This window comes from Homo sapiens, chromosome 6, assembly GCF_000001405.40.
Source record: "Homo sapiens chromosome 6, GRCh38.p14 Primary Assembly".
Lineage (NCBI taxonomy): Eukaryota > Metazoa > Chordata > Mammalia > Primates > Hominidae > Homo > Homo sapiens.
In genome coordinates, this window is record NC_000006.12 from 78888971 (window position 1) to 78907192 (window position 18222).

Genomic DNA, 18222 nt, shown 5'->3' on the forward strand with positions numbered 1-18222 from the left:
GGTGGATGTGATGGCATGCACCTGTAGACCCATCTACTCTGGAAGCTGGGGTGGGAGGATTGCTTGAGCCCAGGAGGCAGAGGTTCCAATGAGTCAAGATCATGCCACTGCACTGCAGCCTGGGCAACAGAGTGAGACTCTGTCTCAAAAAAAAAAAAAAAAAAGAAAGAAAGAAAGATTAGATGGTGGAACATTACTTTTGACATAATGTCCAAAAATTTCATTCCAAAAGGCATGAAATTCTTTATCTACCTTCCACCTGCCATGCTGCTTCTCTTTGTTTCAAAGATAAAAATATTAAACTCAAGATGGGTTAAAGACTTAAGTGTAAAACCTAAAACCATAAAAACCCTAGAAGAAAACCTAGGCAATACCATTCAGGACATAGTCATGGGCAAAGACTTCATAACTAAAACACCAAAAGCAATTGCAACAAAAGCCAAAATTGACATATGGGATCTAAGTAAACTAAAGAGCTTCTGCACAGCAAAAGAAACCATCATCGGAGTGAAGAGGCAACCTTCAGAATGGGAGAAAAATTTTGCTTGCTATCCATCTGACAAAGGGCTAATATGCAGAATCTACAAGGAACTGAAATTTACAAAAAAAAAAAAAAATCCCCATCAAAAAGTGGGTTGGAGGGTATGAACAGACACTTCTCAAAAGAAGACATTTATGCGGCCAGCAAACATGAAAAAAAGCTCATCATCACCGGTCATTAGAGAAATGCAAATCAAAACCACAATGAGATACCATCTCATGTCAGTTAGAATGGCAATCTTTAAAAAGTCAGGAAACAACAGATGCTAGAGAGGATGTGGAGAAATAGGAACACTTTTACACTGTTGGTGGGAGGGTAAATTAGTTCAACCATTTTGGAAGACAGTGTGGCAATTCCTCAAGGATCTAAAACCCGAAATACCATTTGACCCAGCAATCTCATTACTGGATATATACCCAAAGGATTATAAATCATTCTACTGTAAAGACACATGTAGACGTACATTTATTGCAGCACTATTTACAACAGCAACGACTTGGAACCAACCCAAATGCCCATCAATGATAAACTGGATTAAGAAAATATGGCACATATACACCATGGAATACTATGCAGCCATAAAAAAGGATGCGTTCATGTTCTTTGCGGGGACATGGATGAAGCTGGAAACCATCATTCTCAGCACACTAACACAGGAACAGGAAATCAAACACCGCATGTTCTCAATCATAAGTGGGAGTTGAACAATGAGAACACATGGACACAGGGAGGGGAACATCACATACCAGGGCCTGTCAGGGGGTGGGGGGCTAGGGGAGGGATAGCATTAGGAGAAATACCTAATGTAGATGACAGGTTGATGGATGCAGCAAACCACCAGGGCATGTGTATGTAACAACCTGCACGTTCTGCACATGTATCCCAGAACTTAAAGTATAAGTTAAAAAAAAAAAAAGTCCAAAAAGAGAGCACAGAGTGAAAGAGAATAAAATAATCAAAAAAATTTATCCAAAATTTACTAAAATGCAAGATTTGAATTTCCATATTCAGTGGACCCAGTGGGTGCCCAGCGCAATGAACAACAACAACAACAAACTCATCAAAGCATATTGGAAATGTTAGAACCCCAGGAATAAAAGGACTCCAAAAGTTCTAGAGAAAGAAAAATAGTTCACAAACCAAGGGTCAGAAATCTGAACAGCAATTGGACCTCTCAGTGTCAACACTGGAAGCTAGAAACTGAAAAGCAAGACAGCAACATCTTCCAATTCTGAGAGAAAACAATGTCTAATCTAGAAATCCTTACCTGGCCAAAAAACAATGAAGGAGACGGTAATACAAGGACAAGCAGACAGGGCTGACCAGAAGTGTCACACTGTTCTTTATTTGGCCAGGATCTGATGGATTAATGCCCTCTGAAAGATGTTAAAAATGTGAAACATCACTCCTGCATACAAGGTCTCAAAACATTTCCCTACCATACGTGAGGAAGCAAACCAAGAAAGAGAAAAACAGGAGTTCCCAGGTAATGGCAAAGGAATGTCCCCAGATTCAGGGGACAGGAGGACTAAGGGCTTCAGTAAAATGCCTCCAAGAAAAAAATAAAGGAACTCATAGATTACCCAATTAATTTGACCTATTTATTTGAATTTTATAGCTTTTGTCAGAGGGTTTGAAGGACATGTACAACTAAGAAAGCAAACAAATAAAAATGAACTGATTATTAACTCCCAGGAATTCAATGAAGACTAGAAGAAAAGAAATGCAATCATAGTACACTATATTGTTCAGCTGTAAACAATCATAATAGTACAAACACTGACTGTTGATTTAATTTTAAAAAAAGGTTCTAAGTGATGACTTTAATGGTAGGTGAATGAATGGATGTGGGAAGGAGGGTTGGATTAAAATCCTAGCTTTGTGATTCCTATACCAGTACTCTTTCCACTTTTTATGTTATTTTCATGTTATAACCTTAGTGTTTAGAGGAATTTTTTTTTTTTTTTGAGACGAAGTCTCACTCTTGTCACCCAGGCTGGAGTGCAATGGCGTGATCTTGGCTCACTGCAACCTCCGTCTCCCAGGTTCAAGCGATTCTCCTGCCTCAGCCTCCTGAGTAGCTGGGATTACAGGCTCCTGCCACCACACCTGGCTAATTTTTGTAATTTTAGTAGAACCGGGTTTTCACCATGTTGGCCGGGCTGGTCTCGAACTCCTGGCCTCAGGCGATCCGCCTGCCTCTGCCTCCCAAAGTGTTGGGATTACAGGCGTGAGCCACCGTGCCCAGCCTAGAGGAATTTTTTAATCCTGGGGTATAATAGGTATTCAATACTGTGTATCAGGAAGCAAAAGTAGTAGTATAACTACTCATATAGTTTTCTCCCCCTTCTTTCCCTCTCCTTTTCCTTGCATGCCTGCTATGTGTTAAGCATTTTCCATATATTATTCCATCCAATCTTTTTTATTTATTTTTATTGTGAAATATTTTATACATATATAGGCATGAATATATAAGACTCATTCCGTTTTCAGACATCTGATCAATAGAGAATCTTTGAACATTAAGCCAAAATTGACTCACTAGTAGCCATCTATTAGTGTACCTCTGTAAGAAGAAACAAAACAAGGTAAATACTTCTTCCTTAAAATATATACTTGAAGTTCATTTTCATATTGATGCTACTTTTTTTTTCTTTTCCAGGGTAAGAACCCTGTTTGGCCATTTCTTATGTAACAAACTCTTTCTTTAGTTAGCCAGTTTCATTCAAAACCATCTATAGCTATATTGTTCTACTTATGATTTGGCCAGTCCAAACTAGAGAAAGTTGATTATCTCCCTTATTCTAGAATATTTATTTCTAATAACACATGCAAGACTGAATTAACTTTTTGGCATTTGCATCATATTGTTCCCTCAATTCAGCTTATAGTCATAATAATTATAAACAATAAAAGTGTCTTTCTCATGTGCTACCTTTAAATCATATTTTTTTCATCTTATACTTTGTTACTGCTATTTCAGTATGAACTGTGGGATTTTACATTTATTTATATGAAATTTTATCTTAATTCGGTTTACCTGTATTTCTAGTCTATAAAATAGCAGAGAAGTAAAGCTCATAATAAGGAGAAAAATCAATTCCAAACCAACTCAGGAGTGACACAGATGTTAGAATTAAAAGACATAGTCATTAAAAGTTATTTTGGCTGTAGTTCACATGCTCAAAAGTTAAGGAGGGATGTGCAAGATATTAAAAACAAAAAACAAATTGAATTTCCAAAGATGAAAACTACAGTGTATGAGATAATAAATACACTGAATAGGATTAACAGCAAATTAGACCTTACACAAGACGTGCTTAGTGAACCTGAAAATGTAGCAATAAAAAGTATCCATAATGAAACACAGAAAAGAAAGATGTAAAAACGAGTTAATAAAATGTAGGACAACATCAAATAGCCTATTATACATATAATTGAGGTCCCAATGCAGAGGAAAGTGGGGGACAAGAAAAATACTTGGAAAAATTATGACCCAAAAATATCCAAACTTTATGAGAATTATAAACCCATGGAGTCAAAAAGTTCAACTAACCCTAAGCACAAGAAATTGAAAAAAAAAATGCACCAGTACACATTATAATCACATTGCTCAAAACCAGTGATAAATCTTAAAACAGCCAGAGGAGGAGAAAAAAGACATATTATCTACAAAGGAACAAAGGTAAGACAACAGATTTCTTGTTGAAAGCAATGCAAGCAAGGAGACAGTTGTGCCACATCTTTAAAACTAAAAGGTGTATATATATGTGTGTATATATGTGTGTGTGTGTGTGTGTGTGTATATATATATATATATATATATATATATATATATCAACGAAGAGTTTCTATTAATATATCCAGCAAAAGTAGTGCTGAAAAACAAAGACCAATTAAAGACCTTTCCAGTAAGCTGAAATAATTCATTACCTGTAGACCTACACTATGAGAAATTTAAATGACATCATTTAAGCAGAAAAGAATGATGCCAGAAAGAAATAGGAATTTATACAAAGGACTGAAGAGTACTGAAAATGGTAACTACGTGGGTTTTTCTTAATATAAATCTCTTTAGAAATCTCTATATTTATATAAAAGATAACTGACTAGGCTGGGTGCAGTGGCTCACACCTGTAATCCCAGCACTTTGGGAGGCCGAGGTGGGTGGATCACCTGACGTCAGTTCAAAACCAGCCTGGCCAACATGGCGAAACCCTGTCTCTACTAAAAAATGCAGAAATCAGCCAGGCATGGTGGTCACGCCTGTAGTCCCAGCTACTCAGGAGGCTGAGGCAGGAGAATCGCTTGAACTCAGGAGGCGGAGGTTGCAGTGAGCTGAGATCACGTCACTGTACTCCAGCCTGGGCGACAGAGCAAGACTCTGTCTCAAAAAAAAAGATAACTGACTAAATAAATGATAATGATGAACTACAGGGATTATAACATATGTAAAAATAAATTATATAACAACAATAGCACAAAGGTCAAGAAGGGAAGAACAGAAGTACAGTGTTATAAACTTCTTATATGTGAAATGATATGCTAGCTCTTGATGGTAGATTGTAATAACTTAAATATGTATTCTGTAAATCCTAAAGCAAACACTAAAATAATGGAGTTACGGCTAATAAGTCAATGAAAGCTATGAAATAATATAATAAAAATATCAAAAAGAAAACAGAAAATGAGTAAAGGGGAAATAACAAGACCACAGGTTTAAATTTACCCATGTCAATAATCACGTTAAATGTAAATGGTCCACATACCTTCATTAAAATACAGATATTTTAAGTTAACTCCACTTACATGCTGCCTGAGAGAAGTGTACTTTAAATATGAAGACATATGTTGGTTAAAAGTAATGGGATGGAGAAAGATATGTCATGCTAACGTAAATGAAAAGAAAGCTGGAGTGGCTATAGTAATCAAAGTAGATTTCAGAGCAAAGACTATGAAAGATAAAGACAGTCATTTCATAATGATAAAAGTCAATTAATCAAGAGGACATACAGCACTAAATATTTATACATATAATAAAGCTTCAAAATACTTAAGGGAAAAATGATATAACTACAAGGAAAAATAAATAAGTCTACAACTTTTGTAGATTTCAATACCCCCCTTTTCAGTAGTTGATAAGACCATAGACAGAAAATCAGTAAGAATATAACAGATTTGAATCACACTGTCAACCAATTTGACCTACTTGACATATATAGAACACTCCAAAAACAGCAGCCTACACATTCCTTTCAAGTGCACATTGAACATTTGCCAAGGTAGACCATATTCTGTGTCATATAAAAGTATTTGGCCGGGCGCAGTGGCTCACACCTGTAATCCCAGCACTTTAGGAAGCTGAGGCGGGCAGATCACCTGAGGTCAGGAGTTCAAGACCAGCCTGGCCAACATGGTGAAACCCCGTCTCTACAAAAATACAAAAATTAGCTGGGCATGGTGGTGCACACCTGTAATCCCAGCTACTCAGCAGGCTAAGACAGGAGAATCGCTTGAACCCGGGAGGTAGAGGTTGCAGTGAGCCGAGATCGTGCCATTGCATTGCACTCCAGCCTGGGCAACTGAGCAAGACTCCATCTCAAAAAAAAAAAAAAAGTATTTGAATCATACAAAGTTCACTGACCACAGTGTAATTAAATTAAAAACCAGTAATAGAAGGGCCTCAGGAAAATCCCCCAAATATGCTGAATTTTAAAACATACTTTTCAGTAACCCATGTGTCAAAGAAGAAATTGAAAAGGAAACTAGAAAGTGTATAAGGAAGAAATCATGCCAATTCTATACAAATTTTTCCAGAAAACTGAAAAGGAAGAAATATTTCCTAGCTCATTCTTTGAGGTCAGAAGATAACCAGAAAAATACCATTACAAGCAAAGAAAATTACAGACCAATATCCATCATAAATGTGCAAAAATTATAAACTAAATTTTAGCCAAATTTAATGATTTATACACATACATGCTTACACACATGGACACACACACGTATCCTTTACATGCAGGTATAAAGAATAATATTAATACATAATGACCAAGTGTGTATCCCAGGTTGGTTAACATTCAGAAATTGGTCAATCTAATTCACTACATTAATAAACTGAAAAAAATCACATGATTATCTCAATAGATACAGAAGAAGCACTTAACAAAGTCCATTATTTATTCCTAGTAAAAATTATCAGTAAAATAAGAACAGTTGAGATTTTCCTCAAACTGATAAGAGGAATCCATGAAAACCTACAGCTGTCATACTTAATGGTGAAACAGTGAATGCTTTGTGCCTACGATCAGGTACAAATCAAAGATGTCTTCATTCATGTCTTCTTTCACCATTGTACTTGAAAAAGAATAAAAGACATCCAGAGTGGAAAGGAAGAAGTGCAACTATCTTAATTCATGGACAACATGACCATTGTAGAAAATCTGATAGAATCTACAAAAAAGCTATTAGAACTAGTAAACATCAAAAAATTTAAAATACATAGGGATAAATCTGTTATAAAGATGTGAAAGACCTGTGTGCTAAACACTGCAAAGCATTCCAGAGAGAAATTAAAGAGGACCTAAATAAATGGAGAAACACTTCTTGTTCATGGTTTGGAAGATTCACTATTCCAGATATCAGTTCTCCCTAAATTAATCTATACAATCCTAATCAAAATCTCAGCCAGCTTTTCAAAAAATAGAAACTGACAAAAACCGATTACAAAATACATTTGGAAATACAAAGGATCTAGAACTACTTTGAAAAAGCAGCATCTTTATTTATAATAGCCCCAAACTGGAAGCAACCTAAATGGAAAAAAAAAAAAAAAAACAACCTGTGATTAGATCATGTAACGAATACTATTCAGCATAAAAGGAACAAAAATATTATGCAACAATGTGGATGAATTGCAAATACATTATGCTAAATGAAAGAAGTAATCTCAAAGAGCACATACTATATGCTTCCATTTATATGGCATTCTGAAAAAGGCAAATCTTTAACAGTGGAGAATGTATCAGTAGTTGCCAGGGTTTAGGAACTGGGGAAGGAACTGATAAAGGAGTTACCTGAGAGAATTTTTAGGGGTGTTGGAACAGGTCTAAATTTTTGTTATGGTGGTTACAAAGTTCTATACCTTTTTCAAAAGTGATATAATTCACTAGGCATGGTGGCACGTTCCGGTAGTCCCAGCTACTCGGGGGGCTGAGGCAGGAGGATCATCTGAACCCAGGGGTTGAGGCTGCAGTGAGCCCGTGATCACACCACTGCACTCCAGCCAGGAAAACAGAAAGAGACCCTGGCTCAAAAAAAAAAAAAAATTATGATTAAAGACAGATGTTCTGCATTGTATAAGGTGAGGTTATCTTATGTCTCTCTCTGCTACTCCAGCTTATTCTGTAGTATCTGTATTTTGTTTTGCATATTGACCTTGTGTTAAGGGTTCTTTAGAAGAAAAGGTTTAGGCTGCGTGTGGTGTCTCATGTCTACAACCGCTAAGGTGGGAGGATTGCTTGAGGCCAGGAGTTTGAGACCAGCTTGGGGAACATAGTGAGACTCCACCTCTACAAAAAAAATTTTTTTAATTAGCTGGGCATGGTGGTGCATGCCTGTAGCCCTTCCTACTTGGAAGGCTGAGGTAGGAGGATCGCTTGAACCCAGGAGTTTGAGGCTGCAGTGAGCTATGATAATGCCAGTGCACTCCAGCCTGGGCAACGTAGCAAGATCTTGTCTCTCTTAAAAAAAAAAAAAAAAAAAAAAGACAAGGTTTAGTTCCCTTCATTGAAGACTTAACAGACCGGTTTTAAAGTATTGCCGAATATAAGGACTGCTTCCACATATTTAAAGGCAGAAGACAGAGTGAAATACATTAGCTTCCACATATAGATCTGAACAGAACTATTGGAAGAAGAAACATTTCTCAATGATAGCAGTGAAGTATGGCATGATTACTACTAATCAGGAAGCTAAGGGCATTGATTAGACAAAGGAATCATGCTAGTTATCAGGATTAAAATTTAGCCAAGTAATAAGGTTTAAGGGAAACTCCTTCAATTTCATTTAAAAATCCCTGGTTTAAAATATAAGTTTTTTAATATTCAAGACAATATTAGATAAATTTGAAAATTCAAAAGCAAAAATCTTAAAGAACAAAATAATTTAGTTATAAGTATCAAATAGGCTTTTAAAAATCTGTTACATACTATAAAATGACCTCATAGTCTGGCTATACTTTTTTTACTTACATGTAGAGAAAATCTTGAAACAGTACATCAGACATGAAAATAATATCGTGTCATTTCATTTACAGGTCTGCATTACATTTACTGAATTTGGAAAAATGCAAAATATTTGTAACTTTCTTGTTGAAAAGCTAGATAGCTCTGTTGTCATCAGCCCACCCCAGTTCTATCATACTCCAGGTTCTGTTGAGAATCTTCGGTAAGTTTAAGCACATCTTTAACTAAGATATTCTTTAAACAAAACTATCCAGTGCTACATTTCATTGAGTGTCATATTAATAATCTCTCCATTTAATTCCTAAGACGGCAAGCCTGTCTTGTTGCTGTTGAGAATGCGTGGCGCAAAGCTCAAGAAGTCTGTAACCTTGTTGGCCAAACCTTAGGAAAACCTTTACTAATCAAAGAAGAAGAAACAAAAGAATGGGAAGGCCAAATAGATGATCACCAGTCATCCAGACTCTCAAGTTCATTAACTGTACAACAAAAAATCAAAAGTGCAACAATACATGCTGCTTCAAAAGTATTTATAACTTTTGAGGTAAAGGGAAAAGAGAAGAGAAAAAAGCACCTTTGAAATTCCAAACAAATTATATTGTACTTGTATCTTTTTACCTATTTTTATACTTTTTATAATGTTTACGTTTGTCCTGAATATATATATATATATATATATATATATATATATGGTATAGGAGATAAGCTATTTCTTTCCAAAATCTATAAATCTTTGAATATAGTCCCACAGAATACTTATGTTCACTTTCTATTTTTAAAAGACTACTCTGAAAAACACTCTTGGATAATAAATGTATTATGTGCATACTTATATACTGACAGTTCATACAAGCACATGTGTAATATTTCTATTATAAGGACAGATATTGACCCTTGCATTTCATAATTTTTAAAGATATTTAAGCTAAAATTTTCTCAGCCACATTTTTATATAAAACCAAATTTTATGTAAAAACTAGGCTTCAATAAGTTAGCTAAATTTTTTAAATTGTAAGACAAAATTTTTATGGAAAAGAATTCCTATATCCCATCAAACCTAATAATTTTCCACAACTAAAAATGAGTATAAATACATAATTTTAAGTGCATCCTGTCAGGTCTGATATTTAATTTTACTTTAGTTAGAAGCTAAGTAGTTACCCTGTTACTTCTTCATGGATGCTAACAGAAGACTTGAGATTCCCAGACAGAAACAAAGGACTATTACTCATGGCACAACAAGGAGCATGAGCATCAGCACATTCTCATTGCTTCCCCTTGTCCCAGGTCCCATGGGGGCAAAATGATATGGCCATATGCAATATGGCTACATATACAGCAGGCTTTTGTTGTAGGTAAAGAATACTGAGCTTGGAGGGTTCACTGCTTTTTATCCATGAACAGAAGCAAACCTGCTCTTTGCCTCATCCCTTATAGATGCTCACTCAAAACTCAATACTGAGAAATGGCCCAGGTAAAGAACAGCCAAGGTCTTTCATGCTTGCCACACCCAGCAATATGTTTAGGAAGGTGAAGTCTACTGAGGGCTATCTCACATCTAACAGTTTCTTTACTAGGACCAGAGACCATTTTGGTAAGATGCAGATAACAACCCCAACCTTAACAACTTCACAACATGAATAGAAATAGTGATAAATAATTCATAGCTTTTTACAAAAGAATAATGAGGTATAATAGGAAAATGTTTTGATGCCAAAAATAAAAGAGTTAATGTTTGGATCGGACTCCAACAGGGCTCCTTAGAGTGATACAAATACAAAGCAAACGATATGTGTAATTTAAAATTTCCTAGTGCACATGTTTTTTTATTTTTCTTTTTCGAGATGGAGTCTTTCTCTGTCGCCCAAGCTGGAGTGCAGTGGTACGATCTCAGCTCACTGCAACCTCTGCCTCCTGAATTTAAGCGATTCTCCTGCCTCAGCCTCCCAAGTAGCTGGGATTACAGGCGTGAGCCACTGCATCTGGCCCTGTACGCACATTTTTAAAAATAAAACTTTAAAAAAGAAACAGTTGAAACTAATTTTAATAACATTTTATTTAACCAAATATATCAAAAATATTATTTCAGCATGTAATCAGTATTTTTTAAATTGAGATATTTGTTTTATCTTCAAAATTCAGTGTATATTTTTACATAATAGCACATCTCAATTCACATGCTAAATTTTCATCAGAAATATTTTATCTGTATTTAAATTTCCTAAAATGTACAGTTGAAAAAAAGAGATTCACATACCCAGGTTGTTCTAGCATGCCTAAAAAATCTTGTAACTGGATCAAGTATCAGTTTTTAAATTAGTTAAAATTAAATAAAATTTAAAATTTAGTTCCTCAGTCACACTAGCCATATTTCAAGTACTTGAAGGCCACAAATGGCTTGAGACTACCTTGCTGAACAGACCAAGGTCAAACACTGAGATAATAATGATTCTTAAGGCCATTTGAAAGTTAACAGCAAGTATGTATTACTGCTATCTACAGTAAGAATTACATTTTATCTACAGGCAATCATAAGCCATGTCTGTTATGCAGCATAGGCTTTCCATTCTCTATACATCTAGGTCATAGAGTTTTTCCATTGATAAATCTGGATGTTTATATACCAACAGTACTTTCTTACAACATATTCCAGTATATAGTGTCCAGCTTCACCCACTTTTTAAAGTGGCCCTGAAACAATTTTATTCATCTTATTGGAGTGTTGCTGTAGGGGAAGAGTAGAAGCTAAGAAGAGTTTGAGTTCAACACCATTATATCCAAATCCTGACCTTACTACTGGAATGTAAGCTCCTTGAAAGTGGAGATCTTGTCTGTCTTGTTCACAGTTGTGTTCCCAGCCCCAGAGGTAGTCTCAGGGCCAATATCAAGTATGCTCTCAAATATTTGCTGGGAAAATTTACTAGCTGGATAAAAGGCAAGTTACTTTAATCTCTTTAATCTTCCTTTGTCCTTACAAATGAAAGAGACTAATAGTACTTAACCTTGCAGTGTTATTATAAGGATTAAAGTTGATAAATATATGATCATGAGAACAATTGCTAGCACATAACGGTCACTCTGAAAATAGTAGCTGATATATCAGCTGCATTGTTTGATTATTGTTGGCTCAATTAAAAGTTGGCTTTTCCAAATCCTCCATTAGGAAGAATTTTTAAATAGCCATATTGAAAATAAAGTTGTCAGAAAACCAATGTAACATATGTTGAATTTTTATTACCAAAAAGAAGTTACTATCCAGTTGTACAGAAAAGTAGAATGAGGTTGTGCATCAAGAAAAAAATTGTTCGTTCTCAACAAAAATTTAATCACATGGGTAGTTTTTTTTTTTTTAGCTATGGGTTCATGCTGTATTTGGTTGCATCATATTTGATAAAGAAGCTTCCAACTTAGCATGAAATACCTAAAGACAATTTTTTTTTTAAGTTAGTAGGCACTTTTTAGAATTTCCAGGAACTTTTAAAGATGTTGTCTCCAAAAAAAACAAAAAAATCCTGTAAAGTATACAATCCTACATTTTTCTATAGAAGAGCTTAGGGAAGAAATCATTCAAAGATTGGAAAGACTTATGTGTAGTATTCTGTATACTAAAGGGTATCAAATTTAGTTGTCAGTTGATAGCAATTTAATTTCTTGATACATGGCATACACTGGAATCTTATGATGAATTATTTAGGGGACCTGTGCCACAAAGTCTACTAGAATAAACCTATCCTAAACTTAATCCTGTTAGAATTTCCTTCTTTTGAACTCTGTTTAAAAAAAAAAAAATCTTTCCAGAAAGTAGGAAGTTATAATTTCTATTTTCTGAAAGACAAACAAAAATTCTAAATAGGATATTTGAAACAGACCCACTGTATCCTAAATGGAAGTGCTATTAAAAGGAAATGCTATTAAAATAAGATTTCATATATTACTGATAATTCATAATGAATTTTAGGATTCCATTCAATTACATACTAAAAATTACATTTTTTATAGTGGCAATGTACTTTTATCAGTATTCTTATTTGACGGTCAATTTGAGTTCAGTGTAAACAAATAGGACTTAGAAAAATAATTTGTAACTCAAGATGCTGTACCTCATCCTATAATTGTTGTTTTGTAATATTCCTTCTCAGGAATATGGGCTAAGGATATCTCAACTCTGTCAGATTTGTTGATAAGAATTTAATAGTAAGGAGTTCTTATAGCCTATAAAAAGCATGAATTATGAGATCAAATGTGGGAGTTACTATATGATTATCTGCATTACAAAATGAAAGCAAATGCTTTATTTATTCCAACAAAAAAAGACCTATATAAATTAGTTTAAGCTAACATTTAGACATTTACTATTACATATATGGTATTTGCAACCAAATCACTGAGTTTGTTGTTGTCGTTGTTTGAGGCTGTTGCTCTGTCACCCAGGATGGAGTGCAAGTAGCTCAATCATAGCTTACTGCAGCCTAAAAACTCCTGGGCTGAAGAAATCCTCTCACCTCAGCCTTTTAAGTAGCTGAAACATTAGGTGCACACCACCAGGCCTGGCTAATTTTTTATTAGTGATAAGGTCTTGCTATGTTGCCCAGGCTGGTCTCAAACTCCTGGCTTCAAGCAGTCCTGCCTCAGCTTCCCAGAGTGCTGGACTACAGGCTTGAGCCACTGCACCCAGCCCCAAATAGCTTCTACTCATAACCTAGTGTGGCCTAAATTTATTTAAAATGCCCGGGTAGGCCAGGCACGTTGGCTCACGCCTGTAATCCCAGCACTTGGGAGGCCGAGGTAGGCAGATCACTTGAGGTCAGGAGTTCGAGACCAACCTGGCCAATATATTGAAACCCTGTCTCTTCTAAAAATACAGAAGTTACTCAGGCGTGGTGGCGTGTGACTGTAATCTCAGCTACCGGGGAGGCTGAAGCAGAAGAAACGCTCGAACCTGGGAGGCAGAGCTTACAGTGAGCCGAGATCGCACCACTGCACTTCAGCCTGGGTGACAAAGTGAGACTCCATCTACATACATACATACATACATACATACATACATACATACATACATACATACATAAAATGCCCAGTATCTTACAAGACTGTAGTTCACAGTGGGTAATTCAAATCAGACACTGCTCTTCAAGAGAGGTAATATTAATAGAAATCTTTCAAGAAGGATTGTTTTCTACTATTAAAACAATAAAACTCTTATAAACCTGTTTATCAGAAGGATATTTCTGTTTCAGCAACTCCTGGAATCCTTCTTCAACATCCCAACCAACAATTACTCCCAGATAGCCATGTCACCTGTGAATTATCATGAATCCCACATCAAATGAACAAATACTGCCTCTGGACTCTGAATGTAAGTTGGTTCATTATAAGAGTGAGAAAAAGAAGACTAAGAAAAAGCATACTGTATTCTTTGCTACATAGGGTTTAAACTTTATTAGGAGGCCAGGCATGGTGGCTCACATGTGTAATCCCAACACTTCGGGAGGCCGAGGCAGGTGGATCACTTGAGACCAAGAGTTTGAAACCAGCCTGGACAACATGGCAAAACCCCGTCTCTACTAAAAATACAAAAAAAAAAAAATTAGCTGGGTGTGGTGGCACACGCCTGTAATCCCAGCTACTCGGGAGGCTGAGACATGAAAATCACTTGAACCCAAGAGGCAGAGGTTATAGTGAGCTGAGATCACACCACTGCACTCCAGCTTGGGCGACAGTGCGAGACTATTGCAAAAAAAAGAAAAAGATGTATTAGGGTTTTATATGCTCAGTATAATTAACAAGACAATATTAGTGAACCAAAAACTAAAAATAATTTACACACTAAAAGATGAAAAGCCCAGGTGGCAGGTGAAAGTTCTAATCTAAAATGATCCTGAAATAAGTTACTGATCCCTGAATTAAAAAAAAAAAAGCCTCCCAAATGCCATGTCGCTTACCATGTGATAGGCAGGGGTCAGGCAGTGACAGTACGTGTGGGACTGTATGTCCATTTTTCAGAATAAGACACTTTTTCAGTGTCTTTCAAAAATAAAGATTCTGTCTCCTATCCTGCTCCTTTTTTCAAAGAACAATTTTGGGCAAAGAGTAAAATACAGACATATAGTTTCAGTGCTTCATATGGACATCAGTTTTACGCTGGTCACATTAATTATGCCCTAATTATTTTTTATCTTCCCCTTCACAAGACTGTGAACTCCTCAAGAGTAGGGCTATGCTTGAAACAGTTTTTTTCCCAAGGTTTGGGTAATAAAAGGCTAAGGAGGAAAAAAGTTGGCTGTGAGGTATCGTGCTTTATTCTCAAATAAGACAGATACTGTTTATGGCAAAGTTACCTGAACATTGGTACACCTGGAAGCAGGGATGGGAAATGCAGGACACATATTCAAACTGTGTTTGCACATTTTGCAGTCCAATAAGCATGCTTTTATTTCTCCAGAGCTTAGCTTTCTCAAAAAGTAGTTTGTGGCTATGCAACAACATACATTCTGTTGTGTAAACAAGCCTCTTAAATCATTTCAGAACCTATGTTCATTTCAAGCTTATTGGATCAGCTATAAGTGTGTATCTTTGCCCTTTACCTCCTATTGCCACTGAGGGTGATTACCACTTAAGCCACACATTCCTCACCAGCAGGCCATAACTTGCTGGCCAGAGAAAGTTGCTTTTGAAATTCTGACAGCAGCCACTATAAAATTGCATCTAATAAATTCAGTAAACTTACAATTTTTAGTAAACAGATGCTTAAATTGAATTTGTTCGCACGGGCATTAATTTTACTTCCAAAGGATATTTTAGAAAATCATATTTGTATTTGATAGCAACAGTAAATGTATAGCTCATACAAAAGAGTAATGCTTTGTTCTTCCATTGAATCAGTCATATATATTATAATTTCATTTAAAAAGAATTAGTATAACAATTCAGATAAATCAACTCCAGCCCAAGTAAATAGCATCAAAAGAAATTGTTTAGTTTGTACCAAATTAATCATGAAAACTTCAAGGTATTACATTCTATAGGGAATAGGAGGTGAAGTATAATTAATTCAAAGTTTAATGTCAACAAAATAAAATACAGAATTATGTTTAATATATCAAATATTTCACTAGCTCAATACGTACAAAGTAAGCATAGATTTCATCTTCATTTTCAATGTACCTATTTCTAAAAAGATATAGTGATACAGATTCATGTCGTCCACAAAGAAATCAATAGGAATATGCAGCTAAAACTTTTAAAGAGAATTTACTTGCAAACCACAAAATTCAGCATATATTTGAAGAATGACTGTATTGGTTTCATTTTGTAGGAATGTTGAGAATTTACAGTATCCCAAAATATTACTCCTCTGAAGCATTGCATTCATTTTCAAAATATTCAATTATTAAATACTTGAAAAAGAAGAAATAGAGGATTGATCTCCCTAATATTAAATACAACGCTTTAGAAGTGTTTTCTCTAAAAGATTAGACACTTCATTGACCAATATTAATTAATGATATTTCATATTGTTTGGTGATAACTCTGGAAACATAACACTGCAACAGCCACCTAAATAACTATGAGAATACATGAAGCTCTGAGTTTTGGACAGATTTCAGCCCTCAGTTGATCACTGTAGCCCTGATGACAGGAAAAGTTGAAACATCAGCAATGTTCAAAGAGCCATGCAATTACTGCTTCTCTATGTGTGAATTAGAATATTCAGAAAGGGACAGAGACATGCAGTTGAAGAAACAGTAAATTCCTTGAAAAATAGTGTGGCATGATAGGGCCTATAATATTACTTCCAGAATATATGGAGGTAATACTTTGAATGCTAAGTTTTCAGTCTGCTACTTGTTAGAAATGTTTTTTTTGAGATTGAATCTTGCTCTGTTGCCCAGGCTGGAGTGCAGTGGTGCGATCTCGGCTCACTGCAACCTCCGCCTCCTGGGTTCAAGTGATTCTCCTGCCTCAGCCTCTCGAGTAGCTGGGACTACAGGCACATGCTACCATGCCTGGCTAATGTTTTGTATTTTTAGTAGAGACAGGGTTTCACCATGTTAGCCAGGATGGTGTCGATCTCCTGACCTCGTGATCCACCTGCCTCGGCCTCCCAAAGTGCTGGGATTACAGGCGTGAGCCACCGTACCTGACCTAGAAATATTATCCATACTTTTTGTACACCCACAGATAAATTCAATACATCTGTACCTAAGTGAAAGTCAAGACTGGAAAGAAAAGTAAAAATCTAAAGAATGTTTTAAAATGATCAGCAGTATGGGATGTAGTATAGTTGTAATGCTACACTTCCAAGAAACATTACTTATGAAGAAGAGATGAAATTTAAAATTGACTAACATGATTGAAATTAATAAAATACATGAGAAATTTGTTAAGTCTTCTGGAAGTAAGTCTAGCTAGAAGTAAGATTTTATATATGCTGGAATAAATTATCCTCAGGTATATAGGAGATTGAATACTCTTTTTTTTTTCTGAGTAACCTAGTTTATTTTGCACATTTATTGGGAAATGGCAGATGAAACAAAGTGGACAAAGAACAGATTGAGGTCACTTTTTCATTGTCCTCATCTTCTTGCTTCACTTTTCATGAGATAAAGCTGAAAAGTACATATTTTTCCGAAATTACACGTTGTCACCTAAGGTTACTAAGTGACCTCATTTTTCTACAAAATTGTTTGCCCCCATTTGCCCATCAGTGATCAGAGCTAGTTTTTGAAAATATTTTAATAAGAGTTCGTGTTTATCTTAAAGCTAAGTATAATGTGTAAGTATTCAAATCACCAAAATATTTTTGAAAAGTACTGTACTAATCTCAATAAGTACATGGAGTGTTACAATTTATTGACTCACATTCCTCTACTCCCCACCCCAAGAAAATGATTAGGGAGGATGATTCAGTTACAAACTTACACTGCAAAAGGAAAATGCATACTGATCTTGGATTAGGGTTTTTTTTCCCCAAATATTTACAAAAGGATGATTATACCAGTGTTTTAGGGGATTTTTATTCCAGGACTTCACCTTTCAACATAAATGGTAAAATGTGCACGTGTCATTTTATATATTTTATTTGCCAAAAAGAGGTATTAATTAATCACATTATTTTCTGCCCTGAAATCCCAAAATACTATCTTAAATGATGGGTAAAGATCTTCTCTGAAAGATGGTGGCTATTTTTTCAAGGATGAAAGAAATAAAGTAAGACAATATTCTTCGAAGACTGAGCAGAATCATTGTCATACCCCGGAGAGATGAAATGCCATATTGATACAGCTGCTAGGAGAACACAGAGTTGCAAACTGTCACTACACTATTTGTACACAACTCCACAGTGATGTCTTCCATGATGCATCTCTAAGCAGTATATGAGGAAAAAAGATGAAAAACAAGGTTACTAACTTTGCTGTGCAAATTATTTTAGAAATA

General features: G+C 35.5%; 1 protein-coding gene across 7 annotated transcripts in view; it reads left to right on the forward strand.

Annotated features, from left to right (window-relative positions):
• IRAK1BP1 (interleukin 1 receptor associated kinase 1 binding protein 1) overlaps nucleotides 1–18222 on the forward strand; it is a 111861-nt gene that overhangs the window by 21420 nt on the left and 72219 nt on the right. For 2 of the 7 annotated variants that reach the window (XM_006715336.4, XM_047418193.1), the window contains exons 3-5: nucleotides 8859–8989; nucleotides 9094–9328; nucleotides 14022–14140. The exons of 1 other annotated variant lie outside the window; for it this stretch is intronic. In XM_006715336.4, coding sequence (XP_006715399.1) covers nucleotides 8859–8989; nucleotides 9094–9328; nucleotides 14022–14114 — 459 coding nt within the window. In that variant the 3' untranslated portion in view covers nucleotides 14115–14140. Of the gene's footprint in view, nucleotides 1–8858; nucleotides 8990–9093; nucleotides 14141–18222 lie in introns of those variants that run through there. 4 more of the 7 variants (XM_011535447.2, XR_942279.3, NM_001010844.4 and 1 more) reach the window with 4 other exon arrangements.